This window comes from Homo sapiens, chromosome 16 (genome assembly GCF_000001405.40).
Source record: "Homo sapiens chromosome 16, GRCh38.p14 Primary Assembly".
Classification (NCBI taxonomy): domain Eukaryota; kingdom Metazoa; phylum Chordata; class Mammalia; order Primates; family Hominidae; genus Homo; species Homo sapiens.
The window spans coordinates 74,295,535-74,318,226 of record NC_000016.10 but is presented as its reverse complement, the minus strand read 5'-3'; the positions used below and the strand labels follow the sequence as shown (position 1 = coordinate 74,318,226).

Sequence of the window (22,692 nt, the reverse complement as noted above, 5' to 3'; positions counted from 1 at the left end):
TCTCCAACTGCCGCAGACCAGAAGTGTATTCAGGCCCAAGGCTTGGGGACTTGAGGGACAACAGAAGGCTAGGGAGGTGCAGAGCTGAAAATCGGCAGATAGATAGAAGTCTTGAAACTTGAAGTGGAGGCTGAGTGCGGTGGCTCACACCTGTAATCCTAGCACTTGGGAGTCTAAGGTGGGGAGACTAGCCTGGGTAACATAGCAAGACACTTGTCTCTACAAAAAATTAGCCAGGCGTGGTGGCGCACGTCTGTAGTTCCATCTACTTGAGAGGCTGAGGTGGGAGGATCGCTTGAGCCTGGGAGGTCAAGCTGCAGGGAGCTATGATCATACCACTGCACCCTCAGTGACAGAGTGAGACCCTGTCTCTCAAATAAAAATAAAAAACTTGAAGTGGATGAAAAGATCTAATATGAAAGGTGAAAATATAAAGCTAATGATGTGTAAGTATGAGAATAGATTTGGGACTTTAAGCTGGGGAAGGACTTCTTAAATATGATTCACAAAGCACTAACCATAGGGGAGAATGGATAGATTTGTCTACATCAAAATAGAGGATTTCTGTTCCACGAAGCTCCCCACAGATAAAGTAACAGACAGATGGGACTGACTGAAGAGAGTTGCCACACAAAACCGAAACAGGAGTTGTTTCCTGAATATTCAAGGGATGTCTGCAAATCAACAAGAAAAAGAAAAGAAACTCAATAGAAAAAAAGATGAGCAAAAGATAGAAGTAGCAATTCACAGAAGGGGCAATAAACATGGCCGTGGGGAGAAAGCTCTATCAAAGTAACTTCAGAATACTATTGCAGTCCTAAGATCTATAAAAATTGGGAAGTTGGGTAATACGCAGTGTTAGGTTAGCAAGCATATTAATAAGGGACCATCACAATCATACTTACACAGGATATAATGTGTGCAGGCTCTGCTCCAAGCCCCTTATATGTAATATTTTGTGTAATTTTCCTGACAAATCTATGAAGCAGGTGGTTTTATTATTCCCATTTTGCAGATGAGAAAATGGAGATAGAGATTTGTCTTTTTCACTCTGTCGCCCAGGCTGGTGTGCTATAGTGCGATCTCAGCTCACTGCAACCTCTGCCTCCTGGGTTCAAGCAATTCTCCTGCCTCAGCCTTCTGAGTAGCTGGGATTACAAGCATGCATCCTGGCTAACTTTTTGTATTTTTAGTAGAGATGGGGTTTCACCATGTTGGCCAGTCTGGTCTCCAACTCCTAACCTCAGGTGATCCCCCTGCCTCGGCCTCCCCAAGTGCTAGGATTACAGGTGTGAGCCACCGCGTCCGGCCAAATAGCCTGAACACCTACTAGTTTATACATCTTGGATTCCAAGTCAAGCCATCTGACTTGAGTCCATGCTTTAAGCTGCTAAAATATACTGTGGTTTCAGAAATGGTAACCTCATGAACTGTGAGTAGGAGCATAAAGGACTGCAGCCACTCTAGTGTGCAATCTGGCTGTACTTAGAGACATGAACTATGCCTATATTCTATGTTCCTGCAAACTCCTGGACATGGACTCCACAGAAACTTGCTCAGGTCCTTATGAGGACATGTGGTAGCTTTGTTTGTGGCGGTGGAGAGCTGGAAGTAACCCAAGTGTCCAGCACTAGGAGGTAGGTAACTAAACCATGGCAGATGACTACAGTGGATCCCCACCTTAGTGGACTAGCAGCGTAGGCAGAGTTACGTCATGACGACAAACAGCCCTGAAATCTCAATGGCTGAACCCAAGTTTTATTCCAGCTAACATCAAATTGAATGCAAGGCAAGTGTTTCTCTAGGACATCTCTGCTCTCTAAAGGGACTCAGCAGTCAGGCTGCACCCTGTGTGACTTGCCATCTCAACATGTCCCTCCTCTATCGCCCAGGCGAGAGAGACAGGAGAGGGTTTTCACTGTCTCAGTCTCACTCTCTCATCAGGCTGGAGTGCAGTGGCCCGATCTCGGCTCACTGCATCCTCTAACTCCCTGGTTCAAGCAATTCTCCTGCCTCAGCCTCCCAAGGAGCTGGGATTCCAGGCATGCACCACCACTCCCAGCTAATTTTTGTATTTTTAGTAGAGACGGGGTTTCACCATGTTGGCCAGGCTGGTCTCTCTCCTGACCTTGTGATCCACCCACCCTTGCCTCCCAGAGTGCTGGGATTACAGGCGTGAGGCACTGCGCCCGGCCTGCTTATATTTTTTCATTGTCCAGAACTCATCTCGTGGCCTTCTCTGGAGCAAAGGGGTGGCAAGTGTAGTCTGCAGTATGTCCAGGAAAGAGGAATGTGGAACAGGATTTGGGAACACATAGTACTGTTGCTGCCACCAGCAGTTACAAGCTATGAACTGAATGAATCTATACATACAGCCATGAAGACATGTCTTTAAAACATAGTTTTGAGTTTTAAAAAAAGGTAGGAAAGAATGAGATTAAAGGGAAACTTATAGAAATTAAAACACATGCACATAGAACATTATGCTGCATGGGCTGGGTACGGTGGCTCACGCCTGTAATCCCAGCACTTTGGGAGGCTGAGGTGGGCGGATCACCTGAGGTCAGGAGTTCAAGGACATTATGCTGCATGTTCTTCGCGGATCCATCCATATCTAAGGACATTTATTAAACACATTGAAGTGGCTATAGCTTATGTGTGTGGGAAGGAAGGGTGGTTAGAATGATAGAGGAAATCAGGTAAAAAAAATCAAAGGACACGTTTGATGATGGTGATGATGATGATGGCAGTCATGAACTGAGGAGTGAGATTCATGCCACTCTACATTTGAGGTTCTTTCTCCAGCCATGTAACTCTGGCAATGGAGTAGAATAGGGAGGAGGGGGAAGGTGAGAACGTAGGTAGAAAGAGCTGTTGGGCAACTGTAGCAATAAAACAGAAAAGAGATGAATGTTTGCACATAGGCAGGGGCAGCAGGAATGCAGAAGGGCAGGTGTCAGAGAGCGTCCACGTGGTAGGACCCACAGGACCAGGTGGCTGAATGCAGAGGCTGAGGCTGAGCAGGGCGGCCAGTATGGCTCCTGTGTTCTGATGGCGTGTAGTGGCGTGACCAGCCAGGGTCTGGAAGAAAGAGGAATGAGTATTGGAATCAGAGGCATCAGATAACGATGTGGGATTCTTTAAGATATCAGTTGAGTCAAATGAGTGTCTAGAGAAAATGGAGCCAAAGGAGCTCAGGAGGGTCCAAGAAGCAGTTAAGAGTACCATGATAGAAGTGCCAGGGATCAAGTCAGGGAGGTAAGGTAATATGGTTTCGTTGTGTCCCCATCCAAATCTCATCTTGAACTGTAGCTCCTGCAATTCCTACATGTCACTGGAGGGACCCAGTGGGAGGCAATTGAATCATGGGGGTGAGTCTTTTCCATGCTGTTCTCATAATAGTGAATAAGTTTCACCAGATCTGATGGTTTTATAAAGAAGAGTTCCCAAGCACAAGTTCTCTCTTGTCTTCCGCCATGTAAGACGTGCCTTCTGCCTTCTGCCTTCTGCCATGATTGTGAGGCCTCCCCAGGCACTTAAACTGTGAGTCCATTAATCCTCTTTTTCTTTATAAATTACCCAGTCTTGGGTGTGTCTTTATCAGCAGTGTGAAAACGGACTAATACATAAGGGCTCAGAAGGGCCAACTGGATGGGCAAAGAAGCCATTGGTGACTTTAGTGAGAGCGACTTTAGTGGAATGGTGGGGGGGCAAAAGCCAGATTGCAGATGATTAAGGAAACAGTTGGAAGACAAGGAAGGCAACAGACATAGATTAGCCATTTGCTGAAGGTTAACTGGGAAAAGAAGGATGGAGGAAGGCTATACCGGGGGCTGCAGAGTGCAGATGTGCATGTGTAATATGGGAGGGAGCTGAGGGTTTATATGCTGAGGGGTAAAAGGTGGGATGGAGTCAGGATTGAAAATGAGGAAGAGAGGCCAGGTGCAGTAGCTCACGCCTGTAATCTCAGCACTTTGGGAGGCCGAGGCGGGCAGATGACAAGGTCAGGAGTTTGAGACCAGCCTGACCAACATGGTGAAACCCCATCTCTACTAAAAATACAAAAATTAGCCAGGTGTGGTGGCACACGCCTATAATCCTAGCTACTCAGGAGGCTGAGGTGGGAGAATCACTTGAACCTGGGAGGCGGAGGTTGCAGTGAGCCAAGATCATGCCATTGCACTCCAGTCTGGGTGACAGAGCGAGACTCCGTCTCAAAAAAAAAGAAAAAAAAAAAGAAAATGAGGAAGAGGCCAGACACGGGGGCTGACACCTGTAATCTCAGCACTTTGGGAGGCCGAGGCAGGCAGATCACTTGAAGTCAGGAGTTTGAGACCAGCCTGGCTAACATGGTGAAACCTTGTCTCTACTAAAAATACAAAAATTAGCTGGGCATGGTGGCAGGCACCTATAATCCCAGCTACTCGAGAGGCTGAGGCAGGAGAATCGCTTGAACCTAGGAGGCAAAGGTTTTAGTGAGCCGAGATCACGCCACTGCACTCCAGCCTGGGTGACAGAGCAAGACTCGGTCTAAAAAAAAAAAAAAAATGAAAACAAAGAAAATGAAGAAGATAGGGGCTCTACATGAACCAAGGATCCTAGCTGGTTATTTTGATTAAAAGATGACTCAAATGATGTTAACACTGATCAGACTTTAGCACGAGAGCTGCAGAGAAGGAAGACACTATGATGAGAATATATTTGGGGTTTTGAGCTGGGAAAAGACTTCTTAAATATGATCCAGAAAGTACTGGCCATAAGGAAAAAATGTTAACAGATTTGTCTGCACCAAAATCTACCAAGAGAGTCCTTTCAACTAGAACTGCCGTCACCACAATGATGAACATGGGGAAAGAGGAGAGGTACCTGCTGTATATTCTCAGGCCTTTTAGAACACATGGAGTTGTTCCTCTGGCCACATCCACACGAACCTACAAGAAAGGAGATGTTATAGACGTCAAGAGATGCCCCACGGATGTTACCAAGGCAAAAGGAATGCCCCACAGATGTTACCAAGGCAAAAGAGGAAGAGACTACATGTATCTAGTATGCTGTTGGCATGGTTGGAAACAAACAACAGCATGATTCTTGCCAAGAGAATTCATGTGTGTGTATGGAGCATACCAAGCACTCCAAGAGCTGGGAAGGCCTTCAGAAACACGTGAGGGAAAATGATCAAAAGAGAAGGAAACGGCCAGGCACGGTGGCTCACGCCTGTAATCCCAGCACTTTGGGAGGCTGAGGCGGGCAGATCACCTGAGGTCAGGAGTTTGAGACCAGCCTGGCCCACATGGTGAAACCCCGTCTCTACTAAAAATATAAAACTTAGCCGGGCATGGTGGCGCGTGCCTGTAGTCCCAGCTACTTGGGAGGCTAAGGCAGGAGAATCTCTAGAACCTGGGAGGCGAAGGTTGCAGTGAGCCAAGACTGCACCACTGCACTCCAGCTTGGGCGACGGAGGGAGACTCCATCTCAGAAAAAAAAAAAAAGAGAAGGAAGCCAGAGAGTACCTGGGTTCAACTGAAGTGCCAGCCTGCTCCAGCCAGAGAAGCACAATTTGTGAGAACAGGGAAAACGAACCCAAGCTGCTGGAACCCAATCCTCTTGAATTAATGGCTTCATAGGTATTAAAAAAAAAAAAAAAGGCCGAGCGTGGTGGCTCACACCTGTAATCCCAGCATTTTGGGAGGCCAAAGCAGGAGGATCGCTTGAGCCCAGGAGTTCAAGACCAGCCTGGGCAACATAGGGAGACTCATCTCTACGAAAAATAAATAAATAAATGATTTTAAAATGGCACAAAAAACAAACCAGACCCCTGGACTGTTAAAAAAAAAATTGATTGTTCTACATCAAAATAAATGTTCTCTAACTTTCATGTGGGCAGGAACCATATGGAGACCATCTTAAAAACACAGATCCCCAGAGATTGTAACACAGTAGGTCTGGGGTTGGGCCCAGAAACCTGAATTTTTATTATTTTTTTGAGACAGGGTCTCTGTCGCCCAGGCTGGAGTGCAGTGGTACAATCTCAGCTCACTGCAACCTCTGCCTCCCGGGTTCAGTAGATTCTCCTGGCCTCAGCCTCCCGAGTAGCTGGGACTACAGGTGTGCACCACCACACCCGGCAAAAGTTTGTACTTTTTGGTAGATACTGGCTTTCACTGTGTTGGCCAGGCTGGTTTTGAACTCCTGGCCTCAAGTGATCTGCCCGCCTTGGCCTCCCAGAGAGCTGGGATTACAGGCGTGAACCACCACACCTGGCCAGAAACATGAATTTTTAACAAGCATCATAGTGAATTCTTCTGTCATTGGTTCTATGTTTTGAATAACTGCTAGAGAACGGCCAGCTGAGGTCCTAGTAAGTGAGAACAAATCAGTCAACCAACCAATCAGCACCACCCCCTTCCGGAAAAGTCCCAAGCATTTGACAAAGATTTGTCACCTACAACTATCTGCCACTGTGTGAAGAGGGCTACTTTAAATGAACCCAAGTCTTGGTAAGTTTTCTTGAGAAAAACAGAAACAGGTACAAAATGAAAACAACTGGGGATTAAGTAACAGTCATGAAGGCAGTGATCATTTAAATAGGACTGGAATGGGTGGGCTTGGAGCCAGGTTGCACAGGTTTGCAAAAGCCAATTGTTAAATTTTCAGAAATTTTGTGAGCTGGAGGCTAAACAAAACCATTGTTAAAAATTAAATTGGGCCGGGCGCGGTGGCTCACGCCTGTAATCCCAGCACTTTGGGGGGCCGAGGCTGGCGGATCACGAGGTCAGGAGATCGAGACCATCCTGGCTAACACGGTGAAACCCCATCTCTACTAAAAATACAAAAAATTAGCCGGGCGAGGTGGCAGGCACCTGTAGTCCCAGCTACTCGGGAGGCTGAGGCAGGAGAATGGCGTGAACCCCAGGGGGTGGAGCCTGCAGTGAGCTGAGATCGCGCCACTGCACTCCAGCCTGGGCAACACAGTGAGACTCCATCTCAAAAAAAAAAAAAAAAATTAAATTGGATAAACTTACAATTAAATAGATTACATTAAGAAAAGATTTTTAAAACTCTCAACACATTGCATTCTAATTTCTTTTCTTTTTCTTTTTCTTTTTTTTTTGACATGGAGTCCTGCTCTGTTGCCCAGGCTGGAGTGCAGTGGCATGATCTCGGCTCACTGCACCCTCTGCCTCCTGGGTTCAAGCAATTCTCCTGCCTCAGCCTCCGAAGTAGCTGGGATTACAGGCGCCCACCACCTCGCCCGGCTAATTTTTTGTATTTTTAGTAGAGATAGAGTTTCCCCATGTTGGCCAGGCTGGTCTCAAACTCCTGACCTTAGGTGATCTGCCCGCCTTGGCCTCCCAAGGCCAGGTGTGAGCCATCGCACCCGGCCCTAATTTCTTTACTACATTTTACTATCAGGTGTGCTCCTCAGGTTATTTTTGTCTATCTTATCTGTAAGGTGGAAATACTATGTAGCACTGTGCTCCTGCGCCTCTCCTTCCAACTCAGGTTGTTGGCTTGAAACCAGGCACCGTGGAAGTATTTATACCAGTGAAATTGGGAAAGGCTTACAAATCAATGCTCCTCATCCCTTTTTTGGAGAACTGATTGTTACATGTTTACCAGAACACCACTGACCATGGTCCTTAAAGTAATTAGGCTGCACACGGTGGCTCATGCCTGTAATCCCAGCACTTTGGAAGGCCGAGGCAGGAGGATTGCTTGAGCCCAGGAGTTCAAGACCAGCCTGGGCAACAAGGTGAGACCTGTCTCTATAAAAAAGTTAAAAATTACCTGGGCGTGGTGGCTCGTGCCTGCCCTCTCAGCTACTCAGGAGGCTGAGGCAGGAGGATCGCTTGAGCCCAGGACGTTGAGGCTGCAGTGAGCTGTGATCGCATCGCTGCACTCCAGTGTGAGAGACAGAGCAAGACCCAGTCTCGAGGAAAAAAAAAAAATTAGAAGAGTAATACCAGCAGTAAGGGAAATCGAAGCACATACTATCTGCTTGTATTAATGTATTCATCCCCCAGCAGCAGTGTGCAAGAGGACAGTAAGGGTGGAGGTGTGGATGCTTAACCCAGTCTTTTTGCACCCATAGCCTCTTCAAGTTCCTTCAAAATTTTGCCTGGGTGGCTTCAGCTGAAAGCAGAAATGGCAGGAAGTAATTGGGGGAGATTCCCAAATCTATGCCCAACTGGGAATCAAATTTTTCTCTTGCCAAGAGATGAGCTGAGGTGAGTGAATGACGCCATCTAGTGTCGAAGAACAGGTTGGCTCCAAAGAGCAATGATTAGCAAAAGATTTCTCTTGATTTGGGCCCTAGAAACACGACTTCCATAATTTCTTCTTCCTTTCTTTTCACATATTTTCTTTCCTCACTTCCATGTCTATACTGAGTCAATTCTTAATTATTCCCCCAATAAAAACAGCCTTTACTTTTTTTTTTTTGAGATGGAGTCTTGCTCTGTTACCCAGGCTGGAGTGCAGTGGCACGATCTCCAGCTCAGTGCAACCTCCGCCTCCCGGGTTCAAGCAATTCTCCTGCCTCAGCCTCCCGAGTAGCTGGGATTACAGGCTCCCATCACCATGCCCAGCTAATTGTTGTATTTTTAGTAGAGATGGTGTTTCTCCATATTGGCCAGGCTGGTCTCGAACTCCTAACCGTGTGATCCGCCCGCCTCGGCCTCCCAATTACAGGTGTGAGCCACTGTGCCTGGCCAAAAAACAGGCTTTAGTTTTTAAAAAAAGATCTCAATTTTGCACTGCTACCAGGCAAAAATCGGTAATGCCAAGAGTTGAATGGCATAGGAATGTACACAGGTATTATGTGTAATAATTTGCAGTACATTTGCTTAGGGAAGTTGTAAACATTTTCTCTTGTGGGCCATATAAATCAAATGTTTCTCTGCCTTCCCACATGTCCTGTATCCACCGCATTTTCCCAGACAGGGCAGATGAAAGTGGTTTTGTTAGCATGTTATAGTCTAACAAACAATCCTAACTCATTCTCAAGTTTTATTCTGCTTAATGGAAAATGGTAGAAGAAAAAGCCTTTGCATAACTACCCAGTGAATGGGAGATTTCATTCTTTTCCATAAGTTGAGGGCTATTTCCTGTTTTCTTTTTCATTTTTTTTTGAGAAAACTAACCCTTCATTGAGATATTTTTAAGTCGAATATCTAGTATAAAAAGTTTGCATTGTTTCAGCTTGTTTTCATTTAAACCTGTGGTTGTCTTTCATCTGCTTCTGGCAATTTTTTTTTTTTTTTTTTTTGAGACAGAGTCTCGCTCTGTTGCCCAGGCTGGAGTGCAGTGGCACAATCTCGGCTCACTGCAACTTCCACATCCCCAGTTCAAGCGATTCTCCTGCCTCAACCTCCCAGGTAGCTGGGATTACAGGTGCACACCACCACGCCCAGCTAATTTTTGTATTTTTAGTAGAGATGGGGTTTTACCATGTTGGCCAGGCTGGTCTTGAACTCCTGACCTCAAGTAATCCACCAGCCTCGACCTCCCAAAGTGCTAGGATTACAGGCATGAGCCACCACACTCCGCCTACTTCTCCATTGAAGTGCTCTAGTTTTGGTAAAATCTTCTCCTTGACTTCAGGACCCTCTCCACATTTATCCCCAGTCTATAACTCGCATATTTCGTGTTTTCAAACAGAAAACCGTAATTCAGGAGTGAACAGCATCCTCTGTAAGGTGTCACAGGAGCAGCCTGAAATCCATTAGGCAGTCATTCTGAAGCTGTGGTGAAATCGAAGGGAAGCTAATGTTGCAGCTAGGAAGATGAGATCCAGGCTGAGGATCACACTTTTTCCAGAATACTTTTTTAGTGTTTCCAAAGCCAGCAAAAGCCGTTTAGAAGTCTCATCTCCAGAATGCCAGAATACACAAATGTAAGGCTTTATTTTAGGGGTGGGCCCTGGGTTTTGCAGTCAAGTCAGCCGCTATTTGTATGAGCAAGACTTCATCGGTAGCACTACTGGGCTCCCCCTCTTCTACATGATGGCAGCAATTTGGCCTTAGAAAATATGCCTAAGTGACTCCACAGGCTATAAGCTATTTTCTTCATAAGTAGAAATGGAAGATTTCTGTTAGGAAGGTAGAAGTCAGTTTTGTCCGTATGTGGGCCAAACTATTAAAAATAATAAGGCCTGGGGATTCCTATGTTCTTAGATGCTCAATAAACATTTCAGTTCATCAAACTATGACCAACTTACAAGTCTGTGGCATTGTGCTAGTTCACTGGACCCTGGGAAAGTCTTTTAAATCCAAATGATACTTTTTGTTTTTTAAAGAGACAGGATTTTGCTCTGTTGCCTAGGCTGGAGTGCAGTGGCATGTGATCACAGCTCACTGTAACCTTGAGCTCCTGGGCTCCAGTGTCCTACCTCAGCCTCTTCAGTAGCTAGGACTAAGGCACATCCCACCACACCCAGGCAATTTTAGAATTTTTTGTAGATGGCTCTTACTATGTTGTTCAGGCTGGTCTCTTACTCCTGGCCTCAAGTGATCCTCCTGCCTCAGCCTCCCAGTGTTGGGACTACAAGCACCAGCCACTGCCCCCAACCCTGCATTATGTTCTTAAAGGCAGACCTGAATCCTGTGCGGTGTCAATTCAGGTGTGCACTGGCCCCTGAGCCTTACATACAGGACCCGTTCCTTAGGATGACGTTGCGTTCCCTTGCTTAGAGCCTCAGCACCATGGCACCTGGCTCTCCCCCGATGCCTGGGTCTTGCTCTTGCCCATTTCCTAGCCAGGGTTTGTGGTCCAGGCAACCTGTCACATCAGTGTGTTCCAAACATGGCACCCAGATCTCAAAAGCTTCTTCAACGCTCCCATGGTTTGGGATACACCTCAAGTTTTAACTTACGTACTTCAAGTTTCTTTTATTCAATTAGATACAAACCGTCTGACTTTTGGCTTCTGAAACAGGAAAGTCAATTTTGTTGTTTTCACTGTACCATGCTTTTTTATCTCAGAATCTTGATGAACTCTGAAATGACCCCTGATGGGGGCATGCCTCTATTTATGCTGAATAAGAGCCATTTTACATTTTACTACAGGTTGAGTGCCCCTAATCCAAAAATTTGAAATGCTCCAAAATCTGAAACTTTTTGAGCACTTACATGGTATTGAAAGGAAATGCTCATTGGAACATTTCCTATTAGGCATGCTCAGCCGTTAAGCATAATGCAAATATTAAAAAAAAAAATTTCCTAAATCTTTTAATACTTCTGGTTCCAAGCATTTCAGATAAGGGATACTCAAGCTCTACCTATTCCCAAATTCCCACTAACTAGCTCTTTGGCAGGTCTATGGAATAAAAATCGATGCTTCTGATTACTTTAAGGCATTATAACCTCATGAAGTGGTTTCTGAGATGCAACTGAGTTTTTGTGCTATTTTATTGTATTCTTATATCTTTGAAGATGAATAATCCACGTAGTGCATTTGAGAGGTTCTATCTGTTCAAGAGAGGAAATTTAATATCCGTGACTACTGTATGTCAAATGATTTAGTGCCTTATTTAATTTGTTCCTCTAGGAGTCCTGTGCACTTATCTTGGGGGAAACATTGTTCCATTCTTAGTAACATGCCTGTTTGGCCTGTGGTCTGAGGTACTTACAACTTGCTGCAGTGTGGTAAATGTGTCCCTTTTGAAACACTGTTCTGGGGACTTCAGAGATGACGGACTGCAACCTACCACCTCATAAATGAGGGATCTGAGGTACAAACTGGAACCCGGGTCTTCTGGGCTCAGAGAACTCTCCTCACTACAGCAGACTGCCTGTTTCCATTTAGGGGAATGAGATGCTCTTTCATAAATGATACCAAGTGCAAGAGAACTTAAGGCAGCTCCAATCGAAGACTGTCTTGGCTGCTTCTGGAAACTACAGATCACTACTCCCGAAGTCAAAAACGACTAGAACACAGCTTAAAAATCAAGCCATTTAATTGTATCTTTGAAGGTAAACAATATATGGAGCTGGATCACAACCCCTGAGGATGCCAGAGCTATGGGTCCAGAACATGGTGTGGTATTATCAACAGAGTTCAGAAGGGTCTGAACTCTACGTGTTACCAGAGAACATAATGCAATTCATGCATTCCACTTAGCAATTTTGTAAAATACCAGAAACAGACCCCAAGAGTCTTTCAAGATGAGGAAAATTCAACTCCTGGTTTTAGAGATAAATGAATGAAGAGTACCAAAATATTTGTTGACTTCTCTTCATTTTTCTCATACAATCTGAAGCCTGAGCTGACTATCATATCCCCAACTCACAGCAGCGAAAGCTGCAGTTCAGATTTGAGATCAGTCTCCATTCACTTCCACGTAGCACCACAGCAAGAGTGACCGGAGGCAGAGAGCTCTTGTTGGGTCAGCTTTCTAATAAGCATGTCAAGTGAAAAAGAACCCTCTAGCAGCACACTGATTTAGTTTGTAAGATTTTAATTTACAAATTAAAAAAGCTATTTAATACATGTTTTACTTTTTCTCCTTTTTCTCCTCTTTCTTTACATCACTCTTTTCCTTATCTTTATCTTTCTCCTTGTCCTCTTTCCTATCCTTTTTGCTCTCTTCTTTCTCCTGCCCTTCTTTCTTCTCTGCATCCCGGTTGGCAATCTTGTTGTTGATGAGGTTGTGCAGGGCGACCACGGAACGGATCAGCGAGGCCAAGTACACTACCACCATCTGGTCATTGGTCTTCAGGTAAAAGGCCTTGACGAACTCCTGCAGGCTGACATCTGGCAGCAGGTTGAAGACGTCCTGCAGCTGGTAGATGATCTGGTGGTTGATGGGCAGCTTGCCTGTGGCGACTTTTTCCAGGTAGCTCCTGATATCCAGAAGCTTGGAGTTCAGTCCCTTCAAACCATGGACCTGGTTTGTGATCCGCTGGGACAGAGTGCCCACCGTCGTGTCTTTGATATCTCTGTAATAACCCACAGTTAAAAAGGGCAGGAAAAGGCATCAGGGTACCATGTTATCAGGCAAGTTCTTACATTCTAAGAAAATTCCTAGCTTTGTTGGGTGAGGCAAGTTTTTAAAAGAAAAATGTCACTTCCCCATTTGATAAAGATTTCGTTATCAATTACCTTAATTTCGTTATCATTTGGAACACATTTTATCTTTCTCATCACAGGACATTTTTCAAAAAACAATTATAAAAGGGAGCTAAAATAAAACCATTTCCACTTAAGGAAAAAAAAATTGCTTAGGTCAACAGTTCAGATCTACCAATAACTTTCTGGGTAACCTTGTACTGAAGCTGTCTCTCTCAGCTTTCCTGTTCCTAAAAGGATGGCATTTTCTCTACATGCATCTCCAGAATATTGAGAAGCTTAACTAAGATGGTAATTTTTAGAACTAGAAGGAACCTCATTGACTGATAAAACTATAACCTTTTTCAAATAAGGATTATAATAGATATAGGATTTTAAAACAAAAGCTACTCCAAGATGAAGATTCTCTCCAGAAAATGGGCTACATTTGTTGAGAAGGACACCTAGTGGAGAGTGCAGGCCTGCATTTATTTCATACCTCTCTTCCCGTCAGTCAACATTATAGTTTCCAGACAAGGTATGCTATCCACAAAGTCATAAATTGTAACTCAAGACATTTTACAGTTGATGTAGTTCAAACACTTCAATTTACAGACAATAAAACAAAGGTCTGGAAAGGGACTGTGATTTGCTCAGAATGGCAGACTTGTTAGTGGACGGCCAGGACGAGACCCCAGGTCTCCATATTCCCGACACAGACCTCTTCCTTACACTGTGTGACCTCTCGGGCAGTGAATGATTTTGATGCTGTACTAGGGTCTCACCGTAACAAGTGTTCAACTCCAACTTCCTCAGCTTCCTCTGCTCCAATTTCACTGGTCACGTGTTCAAATGTTTTCGAGGTTGGAGTTCCATCCTGGGAGAGGAAGCCTAACTATAATTATTTATTTTCCACAAACGAACTGACATGTGTTCCTTTTCGCACCCTGAGTCTTTTGCTTTAAGTCAGCTCATTTAATGAGTGCATGACTGAGAATTTTCTATGGCAAGGGTGGGTAAGGCTTACTTTGAAAGCTTAGCCTTCAAAGCTAACATCACTGTGGTGCTGCTCAGTGATGCAGTCTGCTGGGGCACTGTGCGTTGAGAAAAATCTGGAAATTCCCTCAAGCCCACACTTGGCATGAACGCACAGGGAGGTCTCAGGTTGATTCTTAAAAGTATACCGCTTTGGCCAGGCACGGACCTGTAATCTCAGCACTTTGGTACGCCAAGAATTCGAGACCAGCCTGGGCAACATGGCGAAAACCCCTCTCTACTAAAAATACAAAAACTAGCCAGGTGTGGTGGCGGGCGCCTGTAATCCCAGCTACTCTGGAGGCTGAGGAACGAGAATCACTTGAACCTGGGAGGTGGAGGGTGCAGTGAGTCGAGATCACGCCACTGCACTCCAACCTGAGCAACAGAGTGAGATTGTCTTAAAAAAAAAAAAAGTATATAGTTCTTTCTAGAATGGACAATATACAGAATATCTGTACTGAAGCAAGTTCATGCCAGAAAATAAAACTTTTAGCCCTTTTTTGTCTCTTGGATCAAACGATTCCACAGTGCCCAAACCAATGCAATCAGAATAGTTGGCTTTCTGGTGGTCTGAATTAATCAAAGGATCCATTGGGGACATGGTTCATGGTGGTCACCCAGTGACATCCTGAAGGGACTTCGAAGATACTTTTCTCAGACCTTGTGCCAGAAGAGGCTGTACGTCTCCTGTCAAAAGGCTGTAAACTGTCTGTAAGGGAGGAAGGACAGCATAGTGGTAAGAGTACAGGCTCCACAGCCAGGCTACCTGGGTTCAAATTTGGCTCTGCCATGTATGTAATAGGCGAGCTCCAAGACCTTGGGAAAGTCACTCAACTCACACTAAGTACTATAAAAGTTAGCCGTGATTATTTTATTTAGGATAGTGTTAATCCTGCAAGGGGCATTCTCCTCTTTGCTTTGGATGCCAGGATGGTCAGAACCTTTAACAGTGTTGTGGGATTTCTTGGTAACCTTTACAGGCACTAATTCTTCTTGAGCTTCACCTTGTAACATGACCCATATGTCCCCTTTATCCCCTACTAAAAACACCTTGCTTCACTGGGGTGCATGTGTACGAGCAACCTCAATTCCTTTTCTAAAGAGGCAGGAGAAAAATTCACTAAAAACAACTGGGTCAAAACCAGGGATGAAAGCCCTACTGCAATTAGGCAATACATTTGGCTCTAAGCTCCCTGGTAGCCAGGCAAAGAGAAAAGCCCCAGGAAGACAGAGCTCGATGCAAGGAACATTTGCACAGAGCTATCCTAAAATACCCTTTTCTAAATCTTAAAACTGAAAGTAAGGATAAATACTGCATATCTAAATTCAAAAGGAGACCGTAATTCATCCCTTAAACTTTTCATTTGTAAAAGGGGAATTTGGATTTCTTGGTTTTTTGGGGGACAGCGTCTCAACTGTCGCACAGGTTGGAATGCAGTGGTGTGATCATTGCTCACTGTAACCTTGAACTCCTGGGCTCAAACAATATTCCCGTCTCAGCCTCCTGAGTAGCTTGGAATACAGGCATGGACCATCATGCCTGGCTAATGTTTTTATTTTTGTAGGTGTCTTGCTATGTTGCCCAGGCTGGTCTTCAACTCCTAGGCTTAGGCAATCCTCCCACCTCGGCCTCTCAAAGCACTGGGTGAGCCACTGTGCCTGGTTGGAATTTAGATTTCTATGTTCCTCTCCATTTCCAAAATGTGGTGATTAAAAAAGTCAAAGGGAAAAAAACTACCTTCTTTTGTTACGGAGACAAAGGATTTGTTGACCTGAAAATTGAAAAAAAAAAGCTAATCACCCAATAAGTAGCAGTCTAACCTCCCAGGTTCATAGCAAGATGACTTACATCATGGACTTCTTCCACTGAAATGTACGCTTCTGTAGGCAGCCCTAGGTCCTTCGGCTTCACATCAATGATGACCAATACCTGGCAGAGAAACACATCTTAGCAAGTCATCTCACGCCCAGCACAAAAGGGGTAATTTCAGGCATTCTTCTCACAATTACTAAAGCTATTTCTTGTAATCAATTAGAAATGAACCAGAATATTCAGCAAAAATGCATTTATGCTTCAAATGATCTCATCATTTCTTCTGCTTTTCGATCCCCTTCATTAATAAGCTGAGGGGCAGTACAGTGCCTAGCACAAGGACATTAGAGTCAACACAGCCAAAATTTCAATCCCAGTCCCACCCCTTACCAGACCTTCCTAACCATTCTGAACCTCAGTTTTCTCATTTGTAAAGAGGATATACAGTTACCGAGAGGATTACGAAACTCATACACCTGGTACTTAGCAGGTATAAACTATTATTTATCAAATATATTAGGTCACAGTATACTTCACAGAGCACTACAAATCAACAGAAGTTTATGGAGATAAAGCAGTAAGCAGATTTGCTACTCAAATTCTTCCCAGGATGCTCTTACTTGAGCTGGCTGGCAAAAAAAATCATTCAAGAGTTTTAAAAATAGACACCACTTACGGAATTAGGACAGTATCTTTTCATGAGTTCGTTGATGGCAATGTCATTCTTGTGTAGTTTAGGGCCTGTGTGGTACCAGCCAACTATTCTTTCCCTGGCTAGGAAGGAAAAAAATTAGCAGGCTTTAACTATTTCATGAAGATCTATACAACTCCCTCAAAAAGGATAAGAACATCAGTAGTTATGTCCTTTACCTCTTTGAAAATTCCAGACATATTTACCCTGGTGGTACTAAAACTCTAATGGAAGACTGACTTTACTGGATAGTTCTTCACTTTTCTGCCGCAATGAGAGGTTATTTCCCCTTGTACCCAAACCCAGGTCGCCTATTTGGCCTTAAATTGCTACTCTAGTTTTTCATGTATTCTACCTTATTCCTCTACTACCACTAGTCTTACTGAAGTGTAGCTAAGTGAAAGGGCCCTTGATGTTAAAGAAAAGCGAACAGAAGACCCCCATACACACAGTTCAATTCTATGCTGTAACACCTTAGAACATCAAGACATACCATTGACTTTCTTAAACATTCCATACATGTTTTCCAAATAATCATGGTCTAAAAACCATACAGAATCGTCTTTGTCATCTTCATCAAAAGGAACTAAAGAGGAAAAAAAAAGTTAGTTTAGGGTGCTTGATAGAAACCTAGAACACAGGTCACAATTGAAGACCCCTAGGCCAGTTCTGATTCACTTACGTGTTTCACTTGCCCAGCAAAGTATTAAAAAATTTTTTTTGAGCTGCCCCAAAAACTGGGAGAATTCACATAAAAATCCAGACTTCCAGCTTCTCTTAAAAAACTGGAATACCTGGCAACTACCAGCTACAGCCAGGTAGGGGCTGCCCCCTTTAAAAAAGACACATGCTTTTCAGTTTTCTAGAAGTCCAGTTACTTCCTGATATTTTTCAATTTGGCAAATGACATGACTAGCTGGTCATTTTAGACACTAGAGTTAGTGATCTCTACTCCAGAGGTCATCCAGTATCATCTTCTTTATTGTTGTTCCTTTAATCATTAAAGTAATACATGGGTACGTTCTTGTAAGGATTCACATAAAGGGGTAAAGTTCCCCATCTCTCTCCTTACTGTACCTATAAGAAGCGTGGTTAAACAGTTTAGTGCAGGGGCTGACAAACTGTGCCAGCTGCCTGTTTTTATAGAGGTTTGCTGGAATACTGCCACTTTTGTTTGTTTACATGTTGTCTATAGCAGCTCTTGCACTATAATGGCAGAGAGGAGCAGGTGCAGTGGAGACCACATGGCCTGCAAGTTTAAAATATTTACTGTCTGGTCTAGTGTGCAATCTTCAGGTTCTCTTTTCTATACTTCAGCAATTTTAAGACAATCTCTGGGTTGTAGTCAAAAGCGGTAACAAAGGTTTATATTTTTAAAGGGTAAACTGACATTTTAATCATGCTCGGAAAAACATAAAATTTGTCTTTTACCTGCAAAACTGTTCGATACATCAAGTACTTTCTTTTGCCATGACCCCAAAAGCACACCAACAACACGCTTCTGGTTTCCAACCTTGCCGATTCTGAATGAGAAAACAGATGGTCAGTGTGGATAGGCTCGCACAGAAACATGAACCCAACAATAAGATACTCAATGGGAAATATCAATGGCACAGATACAATTTAGTTTACCTGGGAACTAATCTCCCTAAACCAATGTAATAGGGTTAGGTTGATATTAACTATAAGGGGTAATTCATAAACTTGGTACTGACACCCACTGGCAGTTTTTACCTAACATTGACTGTGAAGTAATACATGCTTGGGAAAATTTCAAACTTCACAGAAATTTAAAATGAAGAAAATGAAAGCTTCCCAGATCTTAGTCTGAAAACACATTTAAGCTTTGCTACCACATTTAACTTTACTTTTTCTTTGCAGCTTTCCTTCACCTTTAAACTTTTCCCATCCTGAAATCTTTTTTGGAATAAAGATGATGGAGTAGGCCGGATGCAGTGGCTCATGCCTGTAATCCCAGCACTTCGAGAGGCTGAGGTGGGCAGATCACTTGAGCTCAGGAGTTTGAGACGAGCATGGGCAGCGTGGGCAACATGGCGAAACCCTGTCTACAAAAAATACAAAACTTAGCCGGGCATAGTGGGGATGTGCCTGTAGTCTCAGCTACTTGGGGCTGGGGGACTGAGGTGCAGGGACTACTTGAGCTCAGAAGGTCGAGTTTGAGGCTAGCTACAGTGAGCTGAGATTGTGCTACTGCACCCCAGCCTCGGCAGACCCTGTCTCAAAATAAATGAATGAATAGAGGAGGACTGAATGAGAAAGATTTTACTTGAGAATTTTTATCTCCATTTCAAACCTCCTCAGTCATTTTCTCCTAAGGAGTTACAAGTGCATCACTTACACACTCTCATTTCCTTGGTCTTCAAGAAGTATTTTTTAACCACTAGCAAATGTGTGACACAGAAATACAACCCTATGCTAAGGAAAGACAAAAGCCACTGTTAATTACATTTTCTTAACAGCTGCTAGTTTCACATTGGTTTAACTGTAGTATTTTTCTTAGCATATAGTTGGCAAATCTATAAATGGTTACTAGGTTTGGGGTTTGAATCAAACAAAGTTAATGATTCTGTATTTCTGGTGCCTCTCATTTTTGGGGGTGGGGGGGTAAGGGGGAAATTGAATTTCCAACTTCAAGGGAAACTTCCATACTCGTGGGCTTTTGTTTTGGTCTACCAAAGTCCATTTGTGTTTTTTAAAACCCTACACTTACTTGATAGAGAAGCTAGTGCTCTTCTTTGTTTTTGAGACAGGGTCTCACTCTGTTGCCCAGGCTGGAGTCCAGTGGTGTGATCTTCGCTCACTGCAGCCTCTACCTCTCAGATTCAAGTGATCTTCTCACTTCAGCCTCCCGAGTAGCTGAGACTCCAGGCACACACCACCACACCTGGCTAATTTTTGTTTTTTTGTTTTTTTTTTGGTAGAGAAGGGGTTTCACCATGTGGCCCAGGCTGGTCTTGAACTCCTAAGCTCAAGCAATCCGCCCACCTCGGTCTCCGAAAGTGCTAGGATTATAGGCATGTGCTACCAGGCTAGCCTGAAAGCTAGTGCTCTTAACAAGTGCTTGAATAGCACTGAAATAGTGCCTGCCCCTAGTATCCCATGGGAGAAAAATAGTAATTCCTCTCCTGTAGAAAAGCCAACATATCCTAGGCTGAGGGTCCTTTTCCGGATCCAGCTGAATTAGTTGCACACAGCAAGTTGCGGGAGAATGGACACTTTGCAAGAATGGCTTTATAGCAGATGCTCTGAACTGGGTCTTTACATTTGCCAATTCAACTAACAATCTTGTAAAACTTAGAAACATGTGCAACAGGTCTAGCAGGATGAACAACTCCAAAGCCAAGAGGTGGTGGATGTACACCCTCAAACAATGAGCTTACTAGATGACCTTTGAGATGTTTCCTTACCTTATTCATTAAGGTTCAAATCTCCAACTGGTCTTTTTTTTTTTTTTTTTTTTGGAGACAGGGTCTCACTCTCACCCAGGCTGGAGTGCAGTGGCATGATCTCAGCTCACGACAGCTTCGAACTCCTGGGCTCAAGCGATCCTCCCGTCTCAGCCTCCCAAAATGCTGGGATTACAGGCGTGAGCCACCATGCTCGGCCTCGTGTTTTAAATAAAAACTGAAACCTCATCTATATATACATTTTTTTTTTTGAGACGGAGTCTAATCAGATTCCCATTTAAAAATGTTAATGGGTTAAAACCACAGCTGATCCAGGAAGCCCTTCGGGGTGCTGAGCATCATCCAGATTTCGATAACAGGAACTCGGTCAAATGAAGACAAACATAGATACGACCCTGGGGGCGGGGGTCAGGGCCAAATTGAAGCTAGCCCCCTTAGCCCCACTCCGGCATCATCCAGGCATCATTCACTTTGCATCATTCACATTTCGGTGAAATCAACTTGGTTAAACGAGGATAAACATAAATACGACCCTGGGGCCGGGGTCAGGGCCAAATGAAGGTAGCCACCCTGCACCCCACTCCAGCATCATCCATATTTCGGTGAAACCAATTCGGTCAAACGAAGATAAACATAGCCTTGGGGCGGGGCTAAATGGAGCTAGCCCACTCCGCCCCACCCAAGCATCATCCAGACATCAGTCACTTTGCATTATTCACATTTCAGTGAAATCAACTGAGTCAAATGAAGATACGACCCTGGGGTCGGGGGTCAGAGCCAAATGAAGCTAGCCCGCCTCCGCCCCACCCTGGCTTTATCCAGATTTCGGCAAAACGAACTTCAAAACGAAGTGACAGACACGAGCTTGGGGGCGGGGGTCAGGGCCAACTAAAGCTAGCCGCATCTCCCGACCCCCAGCATCATCCAGATTTCGGTAAAACGAACTTCGGCAAAACGAACTCGGAAAGGGAACTCTGTAAAACAAACAGGCTAAACGGAACAGGCAGCCAAGGCCCCGAAGTGGCGGCGGCTGGGGCAGGGGCGGGAGGCTGGATGACTCCGGCATCGTGAGCCGACGCTGGTCTGGACTCGTGAACAAGTAAGGGTCACCAGCCGCCCTATCTGCGTCCCCAGCTCGTCCGCGGCCGCCGCGCCATCTCCAGCGTGCCCGTGACTCAGCAGCGGCTGCGCCGCCGGCCCAGCTATAGGGCGCTCGCTCACCGGTTGAAATGATCCACCACACTGAGCAGCACCAGGGGGTGGACCACCACCTTCTGCACTGCCAGCTCCGGCATCGCGACACACCCCGCTCGCCAGGCCTGGCTCCCTGCCACACGCAAACACCGGCAGCAGTAGCGGTCACCGGTACCCTTTCAGGCCCAGTTCCTCTTCTTCCGGTTCGTCAGCCCTCGCGCGGCCTCCTTCTTCCGCTCCCAGAGTGCCTCGCGCGGCGGGCCCGGATCTTCGCCACCGCCGTCATTTGTGGGCGGAGAAAGGGCTGGAGAAAGGCGGGAATCGCCCCTCGTCCCTCGCCGTGCGTTTCCCTGGACTTAAGGGCCGAAGGGACACCGGCGACTTGACCTCCTGGTATTGGCCTGTACCGTCACCTGCAGAGGCTTTTCGCCTCAATTCCTTCCCAGCACCCTCCCCCCGCCACCCCCCCAAAGTAAATAGTTGACAGTTTACTTTTCTACCACCCGGAAGAAGTTCACTTTTGCTTCAGGTCAAAATCCTCCGCGATTTCTGAGAGGAACTTTAAATCTCTAACATAAGAGCACGCTTTTAATGTAATTTGGTAATTTATCTCATTCTCGTTTTCATTGCCGGGGGAATTTCTCCTTTATCTTTACTGTGGACACTTTGCAATGAACGTGGCAACCTGCAGGTTTCCACCTGTCGTTATATTACTGCGTAACTAGGGCTAGAAGAACGCAATTGTGCCGTTGCTTTTGAAATCAAAATTTACAGAAGCGTTGAAGAAAAGACGGAAGGAAGGCAGTAAGGAAGTATGTTGTGATATGTAGCTAGGAAAGAGAAGACTAAGGTAGACAAAGACTTAAGCTTATTTGCAGGAGGCAAATTATAAGAAAAATCATACAGGTTTATATCGTCTCATTTGAAGTTGCTGTTTCTGTAAACGAAAACAGTACTTAAGCAACCTGAATTATTTACTTATATTTTGTTCTGTTTTTAAACAATTTTTGCTTTCCCTTTATCACCAGAGGATTTTCCCAACATTTTGGCCTCTTGTCTTTTTAAGGTGGACTTCCTGATCTCCAAATGTCAAGGGACACACTCAGTCTCTCTTATTTGTGGGTGGTGAAAAACATTAGCAAAGATTAGACTGAAATTTGGCCACCAATGAGAGACATTAATGTAGTCAGGAGTTTGAATTTGTCTGCATGTGAATTTATCTTTGTCTTCTGTCTGCAACTTGGCTTTATTTTCAGATTTTCTGCTAGATCTGCAAGGAAGTAAATGGCAGGATATGCTTAATATTCATAATTAATTGAAGAGACTCAATGCTATCTTTATTTTTTCATTTTTTTTTTTGGTACAGTTGGTGTCTCACTATGTTGTCCAAGCTGGTCTTAAACCCCCAGCCTCAAGCAATCCTCCCACCTCAGCCTCCCAAACTGCTGGGATTACAGGTGTGAGCTACTGTGCCTGGCCAT

The 22,692-nt window shown here is 44.6% G+C and overlaps 1 protein-coding gene, 1 long non-coding RNA gene and 1 pseudogene across 2 annotated transcripts, besides 4 other annotated features; 1 reads left to right on the top strand and 2 right to left on the bottom strand.

Moving 5' to 3' along the window:
• Positions 1–2,586: 2,586 nt before the first annotated feature.
• PCHILR (prostate cancer associated HIP1 interacting lncRNA) lies at positions 2,587–4,890 on the bottom strand. The gene is made up of 2 exons (NR_186416.1): positions 4,867–4,890; positions 2,587–3,081 (listed from the first exon to the last, which is right to left on the bottom strand). It is a non-coding gene; the product is annotated as a prostate cancer associated HIP1 interacting lncRNA (long non-coding RNA).
• Positions 4,844–5,191, top strand: RPL21P118 (ribosomal protein L21 pseudogene 118; annotated as a pseudogene).
• Positions 11,939–21,413, bottom strand: PSMD7 (proteasome 26S subunit, non-ATPase 7). Its single transcript, NM_002811.5, has 7 exons — positions 21,239–21,413; positions 18,021–18,112; positions 17,083–17,175; positions 16,575–16,672; positions 15,935–16,015; positions 13,833–13,924; positions 11,939–12,938 (listed from the first exon to the last, which is right to left on the bottom strand). The coding sequence occupies exons 1-7, from the start codon at positions 21,310–21,312 to the stop codon at positions 12,494–12,496; spliced, it is 975 nt and encodes a 324-aa protein (NP_002802.2). The 5' UTR covers positions 21,313–21,413; the 3' UTR covers positions 11,939–12,493.
• Positions 20,399–21,288: an enhancer, noted in NCBI's record as "H3K27ac hESC enhancer chr16:74330837-74331726 (GRCh37/hg19 assembly coordinates)". NCBI's record gives its function as "activates a minimal SCP1, AML or CMV promoter by ChIP-STARR-seq in naive H9 embryonic stem cells {active_cell/tissue: H9 hESC(naive)}" and the evidence as "EXISTENCE:reporter gene assay evidence [ECO:0000049][PMID:30033119]".
• Positions 20,399–22,180: a biological region, named in NCBI's record as "H3K27ac hESC enhancers GRCh37_chr16:74329945-74330836 and GRCh37_chr16:74330837-74331726".
• Positions 21,189–21,498: an enhancer, noted in NCBI's record as "active region_11106". NCBI's record gives its function as "activates an Ori minimal core promoter by ATAC-STARR-seq in GM12878 lymphoblastoid cells {active_cell/tissue: GM12878}" and the evidence as "EXISTENCE:reporter gene assay evidence [ECO:0000049][PMID:35858748]".
• Positions 21,289–22,180: an enhancer, noted in NCBI's record as "H3K27ac hESC enhancer chr16:74329945-74330836 (GRCh37/hg19 assembly coordinates)". NCBI's record gives its function as "activates a minimal SCP1, AML or CMV promoter by ChIP-STARR-seq in naive H9 embryonic stem cells {active_cell/tissue: H9 hESC(naive)}" and the evidence as "EXISTENCE:reporter gene assay evidence [ECO:0000049][PMID:30033119]".

Bases quoted from the DNA above. Each gene is read 5' to 3' on its own strand.
- PSMD7 (NM_002811.5), bottom strand. From the start codon at position 21,312: ATGCCGGAGCTGGCAGTGCAGAAGGTGGTGGTCCACCCCCTGGTGCTG. The intron at 16,673-17,082 runs GTATGTCTTGAT...TTTCCTTCCTAG, and splicing joins AATGTTTAAGAAAGTCAATG to CCAGGGAAAGAATAGTTGGC. The intron at 16,016-16,574 runs GTAAGTGGTGTC...TTTCTCTGCCAG, and splicing joins AAAGATACTGTCCTAATTCC to GTATTGGTCATCATTGATGT.